The 20,795-nt window shown below is 44.6% G+C and overlaps 1 protein-coding gene, 1 non-coding gene and 1 pseudogene across 2 annotated transcripts; 1 reads left to right on the forward strand and 2 right to left on the reverse strand.

Moving 5' to 3' along the window:
* Nucleotides 1-1,812: 1,812 nt before the first annotated feature.
* On the reverse strand, nucleotides 1,813-2,024 carry LOC124904804 (small nucleolar RNA U3). The gene has a single exon (XR_007067384.1). It is a non-coding gene; the product is annotated as a small nucleolar RNA U3 (small nucleolar RNA).
* Nucleotides 1,860-12,966, reverse strand: ZIM3 (zinc finger imprinted 3). The gene is made up of 5 exons (NM_052882.1): nucleotides 12,623-12,966; nucleotides 10,393-10,449; nucleotides 6,236-6,362; nucleotides 4,637-4,735; nucleotides 1,860-3,859 (listed from the first exon to the last, which is right to left on the reverse strand). The coding sequence occupies exons 2-5, from the start codon at nucleotides 10,405-10,407 to the stop codon at nucleotides 2,682-2,684; spliced, it is 1,419 nt and encodes a 472-aa protein (NP_443114.1). The 5' UTR covers nucleotides 10,408-10,449; nucleotides 12,623-12,966; the 3' UTR covers nucleotides 1,860-2,681.
* Nucleotides 18,277-18,742, forward strand: DPPA3P8 (DPPA3 pseudogene 8; annotated as a pseudogene).

The following is a 20,795-nucleotide window of genomic DNA, read 5'->3' on the forward strand; positions in this document are numbered from 1 at the left end:
GAGCAGACCAGTTCAAAACCAGCCTGGGAAATATAGCAAGACCCTGTCTCTACAAAAAATAATTCAGCAGCCAGGCACGGTGGCTCACATCTGTAATCCCAGCACTTGGGAGGCCAAGGCGGGCGGATCACCTGAGGTCGGGAGTTTGAGACCAGCCTGAACAACATGGTGAAACTCCGTCTCTACTAAAAATAGAAAATTAGCTGGGTGTGGTGGCAGGCACCTGCAGTCCCAGCTACTCAGGAGGCTGAGGCAGGAGAATCACTTGAACCCAGCAGATGGAGGTTGCAGTGAGCCGAGATCGCACCACTGCACTCCAGCCTGGGCAACAAGAGCAAAACTCCATTTCTAAATAAATAAATAACTTTGCCAGGCATGTCTCAGCTGCTCAGGAAGCCGATGTGGGAGGATCACTTGAGTCTGGGAGTTCAAGGCTGCAGTGAGCTATGATCACACTACTGCACTCCAGCCTGGGTGAAAGACCCTGTCTCAAAAAAAAAAAAAAAAAAAAGGCGGGAGGGGGGATGGTCTACCTTGGTGTGTCTGCTGCAGTGAGAGGGTCAGGGTATGGGGTTATATAAGTTTATAAGGAATTTGGTCAAGGGTGGGGACTAGTTTCTTTTAGTGTTTTGGGCAACAACCTAAACCTAAATACCTCTATCAGTGCCTGGGAATGTTTCAGGCTCTACTTTGGATTCAAGCCTTCTGGGAAAAGCCTGCAGCTTGGCTGGTCAGAGTGGTCAAAGCAGTCCATGATTTTCAGTCACGACACAGAAAGAAAGCAGGGGGTGAGTACTTTTCCTTTGTAAAGTTATTAAAATAATAACCCAACCCATACATATACCATTGGCTAGCTTCCACATGTGTTTATGACTGGTGACTAGTAAAATTTGCTATGCAGCAATCAACTGTTATTTACCATTTTCCAGGAATTTCAGGGCATAACATTAGGGTTATATGCAAAATGCAGTATACTAAATATCCGTGTGATTTTGTGAATTCAAAAGCACTGCAAGATGTTGCTCATGTTATTAATATGAATAAGACGATAAACCCATCCTCATAAATGTACAACATTTCCTGGTGGCCAAGCCTTAAACAGCTTATAATGTACCCAGTATCAGTGGGTGATGTGTTAGACTGTGAATTCAGCAAGGAGTAAAGAACGATTTTTTTAAATGGCCATGTGAGTAGACAAATGGAAATTGAGAGGATTTTTTGGGTAAAAAGAGATAAGAGCCTGGTATTATATAAGGAATGGGGCAAAATTAGGCAGAGTAGGTGTGGGAAAGAAGAGAAGAGCAACCAGAAACATACGTACGAGGTTTTTAAAAATACATTATTTTTAGCATTTAAGAGGAAAAGAAGGAAAGTACTATGAAAAAAGAAATGTAGGCCGGTCACAGCGGCTCACGCCTGTAATCCCAGCACTTTAGGAGGCCAAGGCAGGCGGATCACAAGGTCAGGAAATCGAGAACATCTTGGCCAACATGGTGAAACCCCGTCTCTACTAAAAATACAAAAATGAGCCAGGCGTGGTGGTGCATGCCTGTCGTCCTAGCTACTACTTTGGAGGCTGAGGCAGGAGAATCACCTGAACCAGGGAGGCGGAGATTGCAGTGAGCTGAGATCACACCACCGTACTCCAGCCTGGGTGACAAGAGTAAAACTCTGTCTCCAAAAAAAGAAAAAGAAAAGAAAGAAACGAGGCTGAGTGCCATGGCTCATGCCTGTAATCAAAGCACTTTGGGAGCCTGAGGTGGAAGGATTGCCTGAGCCCAAGAGTTTGAGGCTGCAGTGAGCTATGACTACACCACTGCCCTCCAGCCTGGGCAACAGGTGACACCCTATCTCAAAAGGAAAAACAAAAAAGGCAAATGGCAATTGCAGTGAAGAAATGCCAAGATACCTTCATGCTCAGGAGAGAAAGCTGTACTTCCTGGATGTGGTTTCCAGTCCCCTACACCTCTAGAGAAACCTCTCCACTCATGAATTATAGAAATCATCCCTAAAAGTATAAAGTGCTGTCTTATTTGTTTATTTTATTTTATCTTATTTTTGAGATGAAATTTTGCTCTTGTTGCCCAGGCAGGAGTGCAATGGTGCAATATTGGCTCACTGCAACCTCTACCTCCCAGGTTCAAGCAATTCTCCTGCCTCAGCCTCCCGGGTAGCTGGGATTACAGGTGCCCACAACTATGCCTGGCTAATTTTTGTATTTTTGGTAGAGACAGGGTTTCACCATGTTGGTCATGCTGGTCTCGAACTCCTGACCTCAGGTGATGCGCCCACCTCAGCCTCCCAAAGTACTGGGATTACAGGCATTTGAGCCACCACGCCTGGCCAAAAGTATAGTCTTTTAAACGTTTTTAAAGATATGGATACCACTGGTCATTATTCACTGGAATAAAACTCCATCAGGGTTTTAGCACATTTGGTTTATTGCTACATCTTCAGTGTTTAAGAGTTCCTGGTACACAAAAGGCATCTAATAAATATTTATACTTAATAAACATTTGCTGAGTGAGTATGCCGAATGGGTTTTCAAAGGATACTGTGATAATAAGTCCTCGCTACCTTCAAAAATAGCCTCCAAATTAGAGGCCATTTCAACATGGAATTCTGGGGTGACAATTCCAGGCAACCATATCTTCCCATGTTTTTTTAAGTGCATGGGGCTCCTATCTGGAGTGAATTCTTTTCTGGTGCCTAACAAGGTATGACCTGTCAGCGAAGGCTTTACCGCATTCAGAACATCCATAAGGTTTTTGTCCAGTATGGGTTTTTTTATGCAAACTAAGGTTTAATTTCCGGATGAAGGTTTTTCCACATTCACTACATCTATAGGTCCTCTCTCCGCTATGAGTTTTCTGATGGCTATGAAGGTTTGACTTCTGAAAGAAGGCTTTTCCACATCTGTTACATTCATAGGGCTTTTCCCCAGTATGGATTTTTTTATGTTGAATGAGGTTTTTCTTCTGGATAAAGGTATTTCCACATAGATCACACTCATAAGCTCTCTTCCCAGTGTGAATTTTCTCATGATCGATGACATTGGATTTCTGGGAAAAGGCCTTCTCACATATGCTACATTTATAGGGTTTCTCTCCCGTGTGTATTCTCTGGTGTTTCACAAGATCTGACTTGTAAATGAAAGCCTTTCCACAGTCCGTACATTGAAAGGGTTTTTGTCCAGTGTGAACTTTTTTATGTTGAATGAGGGTTGAGTTCTGCCTGAAGGATTTCTCACATTCATTACACTGATAGGATTTCTTGGCATTATGAATTTTCTCATGATTAATGCAGGATGATTTCCAGGAAAAGGCTTTTCCACATGTCTTACACTGATAGGGTTTCTCTTTAGTATGCATTTTCTGATGTTGAAAGAGATTTGACTTCTGCTTGTAGGCATTTCCACAGTTCTCACATTTATAGGGCCTTTCCTCTGCGTGAGTTTTCTGATGTTTATCAAGCTTCCACTTCTCCCCGAATGCTCTTCCACAGCTATGACATTCAAAGGGTTTTTGACAGGCATGCCTCCTCAGGTGACTTTGAAGGCGTGACTTTGAACTGAATAACTTTCTACAGGCATTACATTTCAGTTGTTGTCCTACAAATTTGGATGGATTATTGCCAACTAATTTTCTGTATCCATTATCATCGTGAGAATTATTTTGTACATAGTGTTGCAAGGAAGATACATCATCTATGCCCAGTGGAAGTATTTTCTTAGATCCGTCACATTCTACACCTTTCTGCGTAGTCAGCGTTTCCTTATTGATTGATGGGACTTCTCTTGCGAGACTCTCTTTCACATCCTTTGGCTTCCAAATCTGCCCTCCAATGTCCCCATTTTTTTCTAAAATGGAATACAAAAAAATGTCCTGTGTAAAACGTTCCACTCACATGCTTGAAATAAAATGCCATAAACAATCTATTGTGGTGATTATTCTGGCTTCAAACCTAATGTCTACGAGAAACCAAAGTTAATATAAGCTCTGTTAGAGTTCTATGTGAGCTAATGTTACATGAAGCTATCACATATCTGTCTGTAAAGGACTGAGCAACGTAGACCTAGTGCACAGGGAGCAGGTGAGAGCCTAGGGATACCAGGGAGAGGGAGATTAAGAAAGAGAGTTTGCCAGGCCAGGCACAGGGGCTCACACCTGTAATCCTAGCACTTTGGGAGGCTGAGGCGGGTGGATTGCCTGAGGTCGGGGGTTCAAGACCAGCCTGACCAACATGGCGAAACCCTGTCTCTACTAAAAATACAAAAAATTCGCCGGGCATGGTGGCAAGTGCCTGTAATCCCAGCTACTCGGGAGGCTGAGGCAGGAGAATCGTTCGAACTCGGGAGGCGGAGGTTGCAGTGAGCCCAGATCGCGCCACTGCACTCCAGCCTGGGCGACAGAGACTCCGTTTCCAGAAAAAAAAAAAAAAGAAAAAAAAAAGAGTTTGCCTGCAAAGGAAAACCCAGATAAGAATGTAAAGAAATTTCTGAGTGGAGAAAAATACCTGGAGATTTCTTCCAGCACTCCCAGGAAGTCACAGCTGGCTGCCAAACGACTTCCTCATTTAGAAAAGCTGAATTGGCTTCCATGCACCATTGACCCACAGTGCTCTCCTGGTCACCTACCTGCACGGCCACTTCCCAGCACTTCCTCTTCCTCCAACCATGGCTCCTTTCCTTGTTCCAACCTCAAGATCACATCGGGTTTGGTGGTTTCCCCTTGTCCTGTGATGGAAGATACCGCAAGGCTTGGTGTTTGTGGATGTGTGAGTTGTTTGTGCAAGTGTATGAGTGTATATAAGCGCTTGCGTATGCTTGTGTGAATATTTGTGTGTGAGTGTGAGCATTTATATGTCAGTGTGTGGGTATGTGCCATTGGTTGGGGGGAGTTGTGTGGATGGATGGTTTGAGGGAATGCACCTGAGCAGTCGAACTAAACAAAGAATGCTTTTTCTGGGCTGGGTGTGGCGGCTCATGCCTGTAATCCCAGCACTTTGGGAGGCCGAGATAGGAGAATTGCTAGAGCACAGGAATTTGAGACCAACATGTTACATGTAACATGAAGATAGCAAGACCCAGTCTCTACAAAACCAAAGCCACGTGTGGTGGTGCACGTCTGTGGTCCCAGCTATTCAGGAGGCTGAGGTGGGAGGATGGCTTGAGCCCAGGTCAATGTTGCAGTGACGCCAGGCGTGGTGGTTCATGCCTGTAATACCAGAACTTTGGGAGGCTGAGGCGGGCCGGTTATCTGAGGTCAGGAGTTCAAGACTAGCCTCACCAACATGGAGAAACCCCATCTGTGCAAAAAATACAAAAATTAGCCAGGCATGGTGGTGCACGTCTGTAATCCCAGCTACTCGGGAGGCTAAGGCAGGAAAATCACTGGAACCTGGGAGGCGGAGGTTGCAGTGAGCCGAGATCACACCACTGCACTCCAGCCTGGGTGACAGAGCGAGACTGTCTCCAAAAAAAAAAAATACTACAGTGAGCTATGATTGCACCACTGCACTCCAGCCTCGGTGACACAGCCAGACCCTGTTAGGAGAAAGGAGATAAAGAAAGAGAGAGGAATGGAGAGAGGGAGGGAGGGAGAAAGGAAGGAAGGAAGGAAGGAAGGAAGGAAAGAAGGAAGGAAGGAAGGAAAGAAGGAAGGAAAGAAGGAAGGAAGGAAGGAAAGAAGGAAGGAAGGAAGGAAGGAAGGAAAGAAGGAAGGAAGGAAGGAAAGAAGGAAGGAAAGAAGGAAGGAAGGAAGGAAAGAAGGAAGGAAGGAAGGAAAGAAGGAAGGAAAGAAGGAAGGAAGGAAGGAAAGAAGGAAGGAAGGAAGGAAGGAAAGAAGGGAGGTAGGAAGGGAGGAAGGGAAGGAGGCAGGGAGGGAGGGAGGGAGGGAGGGAGGGAAGGAAGGGAAAGAAAGAAATGCTTTTTCTTCTTGGAGGATAAAGCTTTTCCAAAAATCAAGACCAGGAGTAGGGTGAAGGGCAGGGCACCCAGCCCACAAAACTTACAGAGGCCCTCACTCATTCTCCCGGCACTTGCCGACCCTGAGAATGGGGGCTCCTTCAATACAGCACTTGGTACACTTCACTTGCCTCACCCTAGTCCCGGCTCTACAAAAACATATGCGAAGTGAGGAGCACCTCTGTGCCAACCCTATTTGGCCAGCCATGGGGTGTCTGTGTGTTTCACGCCTTAGGTTTTGAGTCCCCCTGCCCGGGAAGCCGTCCTTACCCACAGAGACAAGGTTGCTGTAATTCTCCAGCATCACATCCCTGTACAAGTTTCTCTGTTCGGGATTCAGCCGCTGCCACTCCCCCTGGGTGAAGTTCACAGTGACATCCTCGAAGGTCACTCTTCCCTGTAACAACAGATTCCCGATCAGTATAAAAATGCCATTGAATCCTGCGGCTGAGGATACAGAAACTTGTTTCTGCTGAACCAAGCTTTAATCATGTCCATAATTCACTCTACTCTGGATGAAAATAAATTGTGCCCAGAGGATCTTGCCAATGAGCCATAAACCTTAGACCTACTCATGACACTGCCATCTTTCTCCACCCTCTAGTCCCACCAATTTTACTTCCTGAATCTCAAACCCAGCCATTAGTTTCCATCTTCTCCACCATTCATAAATCCACCTTGTCATCTTTTACTTAGAGTAAGGCAGAGGCCGAGTATGGTGGCTCACACCTATCATCCCAACATTTTGGGAGGCCGAGGCAGGAGGATTGCTTGAGGCCAGGAGTTTGAGGCTAGCTGGGGAACATAGCAAAACCCCTATCTCAAAGAACATTTTATTATTTTGGCCGGGCACGGTGGCTCACACCTGTAATCCCTGCACTTTGGGAGGCCGAGGCGGGTGGATCACCTGAGGTCAGGAGTTCGAGACCAGTCTGGCCAACATGAAGAAACCCCATCTCTACTAAAAATACAAAAAATTAGCCAGGCATGGTGGCAGGCGCCTGTAATCCCAGCTACTCAGGAGGCTGAGGCAGGAGAATCACTTGAACCCAGGAGGTGGAGGCTGCAGTGAGCCAAGATTGCGCCACTGCACTCCAGCCAGGGCAACAAGAGCAAAACTCTGTCTCAAGAAAAAAAAGAAAAAGAAAAAGAAAAGAAAAGAAAATGTTATTATATTTTTTTTCTATTTTCCATTTTTCTTTAAGACATCCTGCCTCTATTAGAAATTCTTTTTTAAATAGAGGCCTGGCATGGTGGCTCACACCTATAATCCCAGCACTTCAGGAGGCTGAGACAGGTGGATCACCCGGGGTCAGGAGTTCGAGACCAGCCTCGTCAACATGGTGAAACCCCATCTCTACTAAAAATACAAAAATTAGCCAGGTGTCGTGGTGCGCGCCTGTAATCCCAGCTACTCAGGAGGCTGAGGCAGGAGAATCGCTTGAACCCTGGGAGGTGGAGGTTGCAGTGAGCTGAGATCACACCACTGCACTCCAGCCTGGGTGACAGTGAGACTCCATCTCAAATAAATAAATACATAAATAAGTAGAATAAGCCAATAGCCCCCTAATTCTTCCAGCTACATCTAAACTGACTGTAATCTATTTTCCACAGTCGACATTCAGACTGGATGGTGCGCTCCCCTAATTTATCAGCTTTCCTTGCATTTGGGAGAAACAGGTGACACCTGTTACAGGGGCCAGCGTCTGGCATGTCTACCACACTCCCACTCACACAGGGTCACACAGCACTCCCCTGGGTCTCTCCTGCAGCCATACTGGACTTACGGCAGCATTTTGCCCCTGCCACTCAACACTCACAGTGTTGGAAGTCACACTTGTAAAGCGAATTCCTTTGTCAGAAACTGAAAATCTCACCTCTAAGAGCCAGCACCTAGTGTCCTCTTGGACAGATAAATTTTTTAGTTGTGTTTGTGCTCTAGCTCGCTTTTTTAAAATTTTGTTTATTTATTAATTTTTTTTGGCGGGGAAGGGGACAGAGGCTCACTCTGGTAGCCCAGGCTGGAGTGCAGTGGCACAATCTCGGCTCACTGCAACCTCCACCTCCTGGGTTCAAGCGATTCTCCTGCCTCAGCCTCCTGAGCAGCTGGGATTACAGGCGCGCACCACGACACCTGGCTAATTTTTGTACTTTTAGTAGAGACGGGTTTCACCATGTTGGCCAGGTTGGTCTCAAACTCCTGACCTCAAGTGATCTGCCCGCATCGGCCTCCCGAAGAGCTGGGATTAAAGGGATGAGCCACCGCACCCGGCCTTTTTTTTTAAATTTTTGACACAGGTTCTTGCTCTGCCACCCAGGCTGGAGTACAGTGGCATGATCATGGCTCACTGCAGCCTCAACCTCCCAGGATCAAGCAATCCTCCTACCTCAGCCTCCAGAATAGCTGGGACTACAGGCATGCACCACCATGCTAAGCTCATTTTTTATTATTTGTAGACAGGGTCTCACTATATTGTCCAGGCTGGTCTTGAACTCCTGGCCTCAAGTGGTCTTCCTGCCTTCGCCTCCCAAAGTGCTGGGATTACAGGTGTGAGCCACCACACCCAGCCTTAGTATGCCTTTCCTGTCAACAGGAAATTGGTCAACAGGCTTAATTTTAACAATTGCAAAGAAACTACTATCTGCCTAACTGCATACAACTTATCCTTGGTCTTTCAGCTATCCATAATTTACTTTGATTCCGACTGGTACTAGTTAATGATTTTTCAGTTTATTGTGTGGATTTACAGAATTTGTTTCAAATACACACCGAACAAAGTTGGGAGAGGACACACATTCAAGACACCAATCATTTAAAAAATAGGTTGGGGTGAAACACACATGACACTGTTACATCTCAGGGCTTAGCAGTGGACCAGGTTTGTAAGAGCAATGGTCAAAAGATGCTTGAGGCTGGGCGTGGTGGCTCACCCTTGTAATCCCAGAACTTTGGGAGGCTGAGGCGGGTGGATCACCTGAGGTCAGGAGTTCGAGACCAGCCCGACCAATATGGTAAAACCCCATCTCTACTAAAAATACAAAAATTAGCCGGGCGTGGGCGTGGTGGCGTGCGCCTGTAATCCCAGCTGCTCAGGAGGTTGAGGCAGGAGAATCGCTTGAACCTGGGAGGTGGAGGTTGCAGTGAGCCAAGATCAAGCCATTGCACTCCAGCCTGGGTGGCAGAGGGAGACTGTCTCAAAAAAAAAAAAAAAAAAAAAAACAACAAAACAAAGATGCTTGAGCTGAAACCAGCCCAGTAATCCCATAGACAGTTGTGGGTTTTTTGTTTTTTGTTTTTGTTTTTGTTTTTGTTTTTTGGATAAACATAGAAATTGACCCTTCCGCTGTTAAAGCTTGAAACCTGTATTTGTTTTGTCTGAGTTCCTTCCTCAGGAAAAGACCTTCAGATCTCTCAAAGGCAGGCAGATCACCTGAGGTCAAGATTTCGAGGCCAGCCTGGCCAACATGGTGAAGCCCCGTCTCTACCAAAAAATACAAAAATTAGCCAGGAGTGGTGGTGCGCACACCTGTAATCCCAGCAACTCAGGAGGCTGAGGAAGGAGAATCGCTTGAACCTGGGAGGCAGAGGTTGCAGTGAGCTGAGATTGCACCACTATACTCCAGCCTGGGTGACACAGCGAGACTCCCTCAAAAAAAAAAAATCAACTGAAACTCACCACAACTGAAACTCACCACAACAGATGTCTCCTTGCCCCCTCCCTAGTCTTGCTTTCTTACACATTGTTATATTTCTTCCATGCTGTATAAACCCCTAGTTTTAGTGAGTTAGGGAGATGGATTTGAGGCTGAGCTCCCATTTCTTCACCTACGGCAGCTGATTAAAGCTTCTTCCTTGGCAATACCCATTGTCTCAGTCATTGGCTTTCTGTGCAGCCAGTAGCAGGACCTAGACCAAACTCCTGGTGTTTCCGTAACCAAGCTTTTTTTTTTTTTTTTTTTGAGACAGGGTCATGCTCTGTCACCCAGGCTGGAGTGCAGTGGCACAATCATGGCTCACTGCAGCCTCAACCTCCCAGGTTCAAGCGATTCTCCCACCTCCGCCTCCAGAGTAGCTGAGACTACAGGTGTACGCCACCACCACCACACCCAGCTAATTTTTTGTAGAGACGGGATCTCGCCATGTTGCCCAGGCTGGTTTCAAACTCCTGAACTCAAGCGATCCGCCTGCCTTGGCCTCCTAGATTGCTGAATTACAGGTGTGAGCCACCATGCCCAGCCTTGAGCTTTACTTGAAATGTTTCAGCTTTAATAGGAAAGCAGAAAGTAGAGTGTGTGTTACCTTTTAATAGAAGTATGGAAGGAAGGAGGAAAATATGCCAAAAGGTTAGCACAGTTAATTCTGAGCAAGAGGAACGTGGGTCATACGTTTATTCATTATGAGATTTAGATTTTTTTGAAAAGCTCACCTGGGAATTGTTCATTTCCTGTTCTTCACCAGTCAGTAAAGTCTTGGGAAGGCAGATCTGAGGGAAAATGGAAAAGAACCATGAAATAGCAGAATTCGCTTTGGAAGTTGGGGATCATCCAGCATAGAATGCTCCACACCCTGGATAAAAGCTCTCCCTAACCCACTCAGAAAAGCCCTGACTTGTACCTCAGTGATCCCCTTCTGAAGGTCTTTTTTTTTTTTGTTTTGGTTTTTTTGTGTTTGTTTATTTATTGAGACTGGGTCTCAAAGAAGAAAGTGCAAGCCAGGCACGGTGGCTCACGCCTGTAATCCCAGCACTTTGGGAGGCTGAAGCAGGCAGATCACCAGAGGTCAGGAGTTCGAGACCAGCCTGTCCAACATGGTGAAACCCCGTCTCTACTAAAAATACAAAATTGGCTGGGCGCGGTGACTCATGCCTGTAATGCCAGCACTTTGGGAGGCCGAGGCAGGCGGATCACGAGGTCAGGAGATCAAGACCATCCTGGCCAACACGGTGAAACCCTGTCTCTACTAAAAATACAAAAACAAAATTAGCCAGGCGTGGTGGCGGGCGCCTGTAGTCCCAGCTACTCGGGAGGCTGAGGCAGGAGAATGGCGGGAACCCGGGAGGCGGAGCTTGCAGTGAGCCGAGATCGCGCCACCGCACTCCAGCCTGGGCGACAGAGCGAGACTCCGTCCCAAAAAAAAAAAAAAAGAGAGAGAGAGAAAGCTAAACAGCAGTTCAACAGCACCTTTAAAACAAGCCTGTGCAAAGACAATGAGGCAAGCATCAGATCAGCTAGAGCACAGTAAGGAAGGCCGAGAGCAGAAACCATGAATCCTGAAGCAGCTGTGGTCGTGACGAATAACGCCGCAGTGAACATGGGATGCAGATAGCCCTTCAGCTTTGCCATAAGCGGGACAGCTGGATCATTGGTAATTCTTTGCCAAAAGCGTAGATTTTGGCCACGCGTGGCAGCTCACACCTATAATCCCAGCACTTTGGAAAGCCAAGGTGGGAGGATCAGTTGAGCCCAGGAGTTACTTTTTTTTTTTTTTTTTTAAGACCAAGTCTTGCTCTGTCGCCCAGGCTGGAGTGCAGTGGCACAGTCTCGGCTCACTGCAACCTCTGCCTCCCGGGTTCAAGGGATTCCCCTGCCTCAGCCTCCCGTGTAGCTGGGATTACAGGCATGCACCACCATGCCCAGCTAATTTTTGCATTTTTAGTAGAGACAAGGTTTTACCATGTTGTTCAGGCTGGTCTCGAGCTGCTGATCTCAAGTGATCCGCCGGCCTCAGCCTCCCAAAGTGCTGGGATTATAGGCGTGAACCACCACATCCAGCCAAGCCCAGGAGTTTGAGACCAGCCTGTGCAACATAGTGAAACCTCTGTCTCAATGTTTAAGTAATAAAGTTTTTATTTTTTATTTTATTTTATTGAGGCAGGGTCTCATTCTGTCACCCAGGCTGGAGTGCAGTGATGTGATCCCGGCTCACAGCAGTTTAAAAATCCCTGGCTCAAGCAATCCTCCTACCTTGGCCTCCTGAATAGTTAAGACTATGGGTGCATGCTACCACATCAGCTAACTTTTTATTTTTTGTAAAGAAGGGATCTTGCTATGTCACCTAAACTGGTCTCAAACTCCTAGGCTCAAGCAATCCTCCTCCCTCAGCCTCCCCAAATCCTGGGATTACATGCATGAGCCACCACACCAGCCAGGAATAAAGTTTTAAATAAGTAAATATGTTTTTAAAAAGAATAAACTTGCCGGGCACAACTTTAATGTTTATTAAAGTTTGAGGAGTCCAATTCTAGCACAAAAAATATATATAATTTTAAAAAACAGTAAATTGTAAATGCTTTCACCACAAAAATAGATTAATTAGCTTGATTTAATCATCCCCCCAATGTAAACATGTATCAAAACATCACATTGTACCCCATAAATAAACACAATTATTATTTGTCAATAAAAAGTTTTTAGAAGTAGCTGTGGGCCAGCAGTAATGCTAAGGACTGGAGGGCCACGAAAATAATTTTGAGTGTCCTGGGAGCATCACTTTTCAATATGACAACTAAAAAAAAAATCTAAACTACCAATGTAAAATATTTAGCTTATTCCAGCAAATAGGAGAGGTAGAAAAATGAAACTAAGTAAAAATGCAAAACAAACAAACAAACAAAACCCAGACATTTGGTTTTCAGGGAGAAAAAAAAATCAGCTTACCTCCAGTGGAATCTGGCATAAATTAGCAAGTTGATTGATTTCTGATGCCTGTGGTCTTTTCTTCTGAAAGGGACTGAAAATGAAAAGGCGTGTATACTGAAAAGCTACACTAATGACTAAAACTTAATCGGCCCTCTACCCGCTGTATTCCGCATCATAATCCAGTCAAGAAACAACCCAAAACACTCACTTCCTATCAAAAGCCCCACCTGATCCTATCAGGCCACATCAAAATTTCAATTCCCAATTCTTTCCTCGACTTCTCCAAAACTGAATGAACTCTCATAAAAATTGTGATTGTGAAAGCTTAATTTTCAAATCTGCCCAATCAGTTTCCAATGGAATTTTTTTTAAGTTCATGCAAGTAAAAATTTTTTACCTTAACTTTGAAATAGAAAGCATGGAAAACATTATCCAAATGTCAGAGGATGAAAATAAATTAAAACAACAAAAATTGGCTGGGCACGGTGGCTCATGCCTGTAATCCCAGCACTTTGGGAGGACAGGAGTTCAAGACCAGCCTGGCCAACATGGGGAAACCCCGTCTCTACTAAAAATACAAAAATTAGCTGGTCATGGTGGCACGTGCCTGTAATCCCAGCTACTTGGGAGGCTGAGGCAGGAGAATCGCTTGAACCCGGGAGACGGAGGCTTCAGTGAGCCAAGATCGTGCCACTGCACTCCAGCCTGGGCAATGAGCGAGACTCCATCTCACGTCTCAAAAAAAAAAAAAGAAAGGAAAAGAAAAAAGAAATAGGGCCAGCGGAGGTGGAACAATGCCTTAAAGTGCTCTCCGCCCGACAGAAAGAATTCAGGCTCCAACCTCCAACTGGCAAAATCTCTTCAGCTGTACTAATACTCTCAAAATGAGATCAACATGCCAATCCATCCCCACCCTAGTCTGGGTGTTGAATTTAAACACAGGCTACATGCCCTTGCCTGCAGACATGGAGACCTTCCAAAATTGAGCGTCCAACTGAATTCCAAGAGATTAAACCAGACTTCATGGGACAGGATGCACCAGACTAGACCTCCTCCCAGGAGAAGAGGTATCCAAAGATCGTATTAGCAAATGACCCTTGGCGGTGTGCGGTGGCTCAAGCCTGTAATCCCAACACTTTGGGAGACTGAGGCAGACAGATCACCTGAGGTCAGGAGTTCAAGACCAGCCTGGTCAACATGGTGAAATCCTGTCTCTACTAAAAATACAAAAATTAGCTGGGCATGGTGGTACACACCTGTAGTCCCAGCTACTCAGCTACTCAAGAGGCTGAGGCAGAATTGCTTGAACCCAAAACACAGAGGTTGCTGTGAGCTGAGATCATGCCACTGCACTCCAGCCTGGGCGACAGAGGGAGACTCCATCTCAAAAAAAAAAAAAAGAAAAAAAAAGCAAAATGACCCAGCCAGCCTGAATCCCAGCCGCCGTGTCGGACTACTATAGTCCCAGATACTTGGAAGGCTGAGGTGGGAGGATCAATTGAGCCCAAGAGGTCAAGGCTGCAGTGAGCAAGGATCTTGCCACTGCATTCCAGCCTGAGAGACAGAGCAAGCCTGCAGGTGAACGGAAAGGGGTGGAGTGATTTTATATATATATATATATATATATGTATATATATATATATATATATATATTTTTTTTTTTTTTTTGTCTGAGCCGCTGTGCCTGGCCTTTTTTATTTTTTTTTAGAGACAGGCTGGTCTCAAACTCCTGGCCCCAAGTGATCCTCCCATCCCAGCCTCCCAAAGTACTGGTATTACAGATGTGAGCCACTGCAGTTGGCTCAACAGCAGATTTTCAATGTAGATGAAAAAGCCATCTATTGGAAGGAGATTCCATCTAGGATTTTTATAGCTAGAGAGAAGTCAATGCCTGGCCTCAAAACTTCCAAGGACAGGATGATTCTCTTACATGAAACTAATGCAGCTGGTGACTGAATTTAATCTAATGCTCACTTACCATTTAAAAAATTTTAAAGCCTCTAAGAATTATGCTGGCCAAATGCGGTGGCTCATGCCTCTAATCCCAGCAATTTGGGAAGCCAAGGCGGGCAGATCACTTGAGGTCAGGAGTTCCAAGCCAGCCTGGCCAACATGGTGAAACCCCATCTCTACTAAAAATACAAAAAAATTAGCCAGGCATGGTGGCCCGTGCCTGTAGTCCCAGATACTCAGGAGGCTGAGGCAAGACAATCACTTGAACCTCGGAGGCGGAGGCTGCAGTGAGCCGAGATCACACCACTGCACTCCAGCCTGGGTGACAGAGTGAGACTGTGTCTCAAAAAACAAACAAAGAAAAGAATTATGTTAAATCTACTCTATCTGTGCTCTATAAATGAAACAACAAAGCCTGGGTGATAGCACATTTGTCTACAGTATGGTTTTGATTATTTTAAGCCCACTGTTGAGAACTATTTCTCAGACAAAAAGAAAAAGATTCCCTTCAAAGCATTACTGCTCTTCAGATCCCAGGTGTTAAGCCAGTAAACACAATAAATAAATAAATAAATAAGTAAATAAATAAATAACTGCTCATCAAACCTAAACACAAAAATAGAAAAATAATAAAAAAGCAAAAGACCACACAAAAACAAAATATCACTGCTCATTGAAAATGTATCGGGTCACTCAAGAGCTGATGGATGAATCTTAATTTCAGTTGAAGAAAAAAACTCTGATGGAGATGTACAAGGAGATGAATGTTGTTTGCATGCCTGCTAACACAACATCCATTCTGCAGACCGTGGGTCAAGAAGTAATTTTGACTTTCAAGTCGTGTTATCTAAGAAACACATTTCATAAAGCCATTTCTCCCATAGATAGTGAATCCTCTGATGGATCGGGGCAAAGTCCATTGAAAACCTCCATGAAACAGTTCATCATTCTAAATGCCATTAAGAACATTTGTGATTCATGGAAAGAGGTCAAAATATCAGCATGAACAGGATTTGGAAGAAGTGGATTCCAACCCTCATGGATGACTTTGAGGGGTTCAAAAATTCAGTGGAGACCAGGCACATGACTTATGCCTATAATCACAGCATTTTAGGACCTAAAGTGGGACGATCACTTGAGGCCAGGAGTTTGAGACCAGCCTGGCAACATAGCGAGACTCCCATCTTTATTTTTAAAATATATATTAATAATTCAATGGAAGTAGTGACTGCAGATGTAGCAGAAATAGCAAGACAACTAGAATTGGAAGTGGAGCCTGAAGATGTGACTGAATTTTTGCAACCTGCTGGTAAAACTTGAACAGATGAAATTTTTTTTTAATTAAAAAAATGTTTTAAATGAAAGACCCTTTGAGAAGTGTCTGTTCATGTCCTTCACCCACTTTTTGATGGGGTTGTTTGTTTTTTTCTTGTAAATTTGTTTGAGTTCATTGTAGATTCTGGATATTAGCCCTTTGTCAGATGAGTAGGTTGCGAAAATTTTCTCCCATTTTGTAGGTTGCCTGTTCACTCTGATGGTAGTTTCTTTTGCTGTGCAGAAGCTCTTTAGTTTAATTAGATCCCATTTGTCAATTTTGTCTTTTGTTGCCATTGCTTTTGGTGTTTTGGACATGAAGTCCTTGCCCATGCCTATGTCCTGAATGGTAATGCCTAGGTTTTCTTCTAGGGTTTTTATGGTTTTAGGTCTAACGTTTAAATCTTTAATCCATCTTGAATTGATTTTTGTATAAGGTGTAAGGAAGGGATCCAGTTTCAGCTTTCTACATATGGCTAGCCAGTTTTCCCAGCACCATTTATTAAATAGGGAATCCTTTCCCCATTGCTTGTTTTTCTCAGGTTTATCAAAGACCAGATAGTTGTAGATATGCGGCGTTATTTCTGAGGGCTCTGTTCTGTTCCATTGAGAAGACATTTATGCAGCCAAAAAACACATGAAAAAATGCTCATCATCACTGGCCATCAGAGAAATGCAAATCAAAACCACAATGAGATACCATCTCACACCAGTTAGAATGGCAATCATTAAAAAGTCAGGAAACAACAGGTGCTGGAGAGGATGTGGAGAAATAGGAACACTTTTACACTGTTGGTGGGACTGTAAACTAGTTCAACCATTGTGGAAGTCAGTGTGGCGATTCCTCAGAGATCTAGAACTAGAAATACCATTTGACCCAGCCATCCCATTAGTGGGTATATACCCAAATGACTATAAATCATGCTGCTATAAAGACACATGCACACATATGTTTATTGCGGCATTATTCACAATAGCAAAGACTTGGAACCAACTCAAACGTCCAACAATGATAGACTGGATTAAGAAAATGTGGCACATATACACCATGGAGTACTGTGCAGCCATAAAAAATGATGAGTTCGTGTCCTTTGTAGGGACATGGATGAAATTGGAAATCATCATTCTCAGTAAACTATCGCAAGAACAAAAAACCAAACACCGCATATTCTCACTCATAGGTGGGAATTGAACAATGAGATCACATGGACACAGGAAGGGGAATATCACACTCTGGGGACTGTGGTGGGGTGGGGGGAGGGGGGAGGGATAGCATTGGGAGATATACCTAATGCTAGATGACGAGTTAGTGGGTGCAGCACACCAGCATGGCACATGTATACATATGTAACTAACCTGCACAATGTGCACATGTACCCTAAAACTTAAAGTATAATAAAAAAAAAATAGAAAAAAAAGAAAAAATAATAAAATTACAATTCATGTTTCCATAAAAAAAAGAAAGACCTCATGAAGCGGGCAGATCACGAGGTCAGGAGATCAAGACCATCCTGGCTAACACGGGGAAACCCCGTCTCTACTAAAAATATAAAAAATTGGCCGGGCATGGTGGTGGGCGCCTGTAGTCCCAGCTATTAGGGAGGCTGAGGCAGGGGAATGGCGTGAACCCAGGAGACGGAGCTTGCAGTGAGCAGAGATCACGCCACTGCACTCCAGCTTGGGCGACAGTGCTAGACTCCGTCTCAAAAAAAAAAAACTTGACCTGATGAGGAATTGCTTCTTATGGATAAGCAAATAAATTGTTTTTTTGTTTGTTTGTTTGTTTTTTGAGACTGAGTTTTGCTCTTGTTGCCCAGGCTGGAGTGCAATGGCGCGATCTCAGCTTACCACAACCTCTGCCTCCCAGGTTCAAGCAATTCTCCTGCCTCAGCCTCCCAAGTAGCTGGGATTACAGGCATGCACCACCACGCCCGGCTAATTTTTTTTTGTATTTTTAGTAGAGATGGGGTTTCTCCAGGTTGAGGCTGGTCTCGAACTCCTGACCTCAGGTGATCCGCCCACCTCGGCCTCCCAAAGTGCTGGGATTACAGGCGTGAGCCACCGTGCCCAGCCTTAAAGTGTTTTTTTAAAGGTACTCAAATATGTCAATTTTATTGTTTCTCTATGTGCACATTTATTTGCTACTGAAAATTGCAAAAGCAGTACATCATGGCTTCTTATTGCAATGCATCCTCCCACCTCAGCTTCCCAAGTAGCTGGGACCACAGGCATGTGCCACTTCACCTGGCAAATTTTTTTGAAAAATTTTTTTGTAGAGATGGAGTCTCGCCATGTTGCCCAGGCTGGTCTTGAACTCTTAGCCTCAAGCAATACTCCTGCCACAGCCTCCCAAAACGCTGGGATTACATGCAATAGCCACCATGCCTGGCCTACTTCAAGTTCAAAAATTTAAACCAACCTTCATCCCAGTGTCTTCACAAATGCTCAGCAAAGAAAATTCCTAAGACAATTCAGGGACCTCTCATAACCTTACTGAGAGACGTTAATAAAGAACCTTAGTAACTTGACTCTCAACTCTACTACCAACCCTTCCCCTCTAGCAGAAGTTTCACCCCAACAACAGGATAGAAGAGAAACAATCTTCCAGGACATCAGAGATGGCTTGCCTTACAGGAGGAAATTAGTAAGAACATTGCTCTCTGTGGGGAAAGAAAGGATGGTAAAAATCGAGATACCTATTAATAGATTTTCTCAGCTTGAAAGAGAACTGACACTAGGCTTAAGGGAGCGCAGAATGAATCAAGAAGTGAACCATTCAAATGTGGCTGCAGTTTTTGTGTGTATCACAGATGGGATCCTTCTGAGAATGCTAGAAAAGGGAATTATGACACAGAGCCTATTCAGCCATAAACATTATTTTTGTACTTTTTCTTTCTTGCTGGTAATTTTTTCCTATTCTTTTGAGATGGAGTCTCACTCTGTTGCCCAGGCTGGAGTGCAGCGGCATGATCTTGGCTCACTGTAGCTTCCGGCTCCTGGGTTCAGGCAGTTCTGCCTCAGCCTCCCAAGTACCTGGGATTAGAGGCGCCCACCACTACGCCCAGCTAATTTTTATATTTTGAGTAGAGATGTGGTTTCACCATATTGGCCAAGCTGGTCTTGAACTCCTGACTTCCAGTGATCCACCCGCCTCGGCCTCCCAAAGTGCCGGGATTACAGGTGTGAGCCACCACGCCCAGCCTTCTTGCTGGTAATTTTTTATATAGTGGGTTAAGAAAGCTACTCTATGCTAGGATAGACTATCGCAATATTTTTGATATCTTTTTCTGTGATATCTTTTTCTCATACATTTTCCTTCCTACAATGACACTGGTAACTTATAAGGAATCTGTGTAGTTTGAATGTATTTGAATAATTTCAATATACCTTAGTGCTACTCTTTGATTTAATCCCTAAAGCACCAATAGGTCCTAAATATTCTCATGTGTTTTAGAAGCCTGAAGTCAGTGAGAAAAACCCACAGAGAGCAATGTTTTTACTAATTTCCTCCTGTAAGTCTAGCCACCTCTGATGTCCTGGAAGATTGTTTCTTTTCTATCCTGTTGCTCGGGTGAACCTTCTGCTAGAGGGGAAGGGTTGGTAGTGGAGTTGAGAGTCAAGTTACTAAGGTTCTTTAGTAACATCTCACAGTAGAGGGTATGAGAGGCCCCTGAATTGTCTTAGGAATTTTCTTCAGTGAGCATTTGCGAAGACTCGGATGAAGGTTAGGTTAAACTTTTGTCATGGGTCCATTGGCAGGCTAGTCACAAGTGCCTCCTGGATCTTTGGGTCCTGGCGGAAAACGATGCCAGACTCTCAAATTGCCACAAGGTAGCCTGGAAAGAACGCCACAGTCCAGAAGGAGCCTCGAAAGTGGTTTCATGAGGTGGAATTTACTCCTGGTGAAGATGCTGTGAACGCTGTTTAAACTACAACAGAGGATTTACAATATTGACGCACGTAGTTAAGAAAGCAGTGGCAGGGTTTGAGAGGATTGGCTCCAATTTTGAAAGAAGTTCTATTATGGGTAAAATGCTATCAAACAACATCTCATGTTCCAGAGAAATCTTTCGTGGAAGGAAGCGTCAGTTAATGTGGTAAATTTCATTGTTGTTTTAACAAATTGTTACAACCACTTCAATATTTAGCAACCACCACCCTTATCAGCCAGCAGCCAATGACATTGAGGCAAGACTCCTCACCAGCAAAAAAGATTACGACTCCCTGAAGGCTAAGATCATTATTAGTATTTTTAGCAATAAAGTATTTTTATATAATTTCTTTTTAAAAAATAATGGAGCTTCAAATAAGGGCATCAGGTATTTTTTCTTTTAATAGATGGGGTTTTGCCATGTTGTCCAGGCTGAGCTCAAGCAATCCACCTGCCTCGGCCTCCCAAAGTGCTGGGATTACAGGCGTGAGTCACCCCACCCAGCCAGCATCAAGTGTTTTAAAATTAAAGTATGTGCCTTGTTTCCTAGACATAACACCATTTTACACTTTATTAGACTACAGTGTAGTGTAGTGTAAATGTAACTTTTTTTTTTGAGAGGGAGTCTCGCTCGGCCACCCAGGCTGGAGTGCAGTGGCGCGATCTTGGCTCACTGCAAGCTCCGCCTCCCAGGTTCACGCCATTCTCCTGCCTCAGCCTCCCGAGTAGCTGGGACTACAGGCACCTGCTACCATGCCCGGCTAATTTTTTGTAATTTTTTTTTTTAGTAGAGACGGGGTTTCTCCACGTTAGCCAGGATGGTCTCGATCTCCTGACCTCGCGATCTGCCCGCCTCCGCCTCCCAAAGTGCTGGTATTACAGGCATGAGCCACCGCGCCCGGCCATAACTTCTTTTTTTAAATAGAGACAGGATCTCCCTATATTGCCCAGGTTGACCTCACAACTCCTGGTCTCAAGTGATCCTCCCCCTTC

This window comes from Homo sapiens, chromosome 19 (assembly GCF_000001405.40).
Source record: "Homo sapiens chromosome 19, GRCh38.p14 Primary Assembly".
In the NCBI taxonomy this organism is placed as follows: Eukaryota; Metazoa; Chordata; class Mammalia; order Primates; family Hominidae; genus Homo; species Homo sapiens.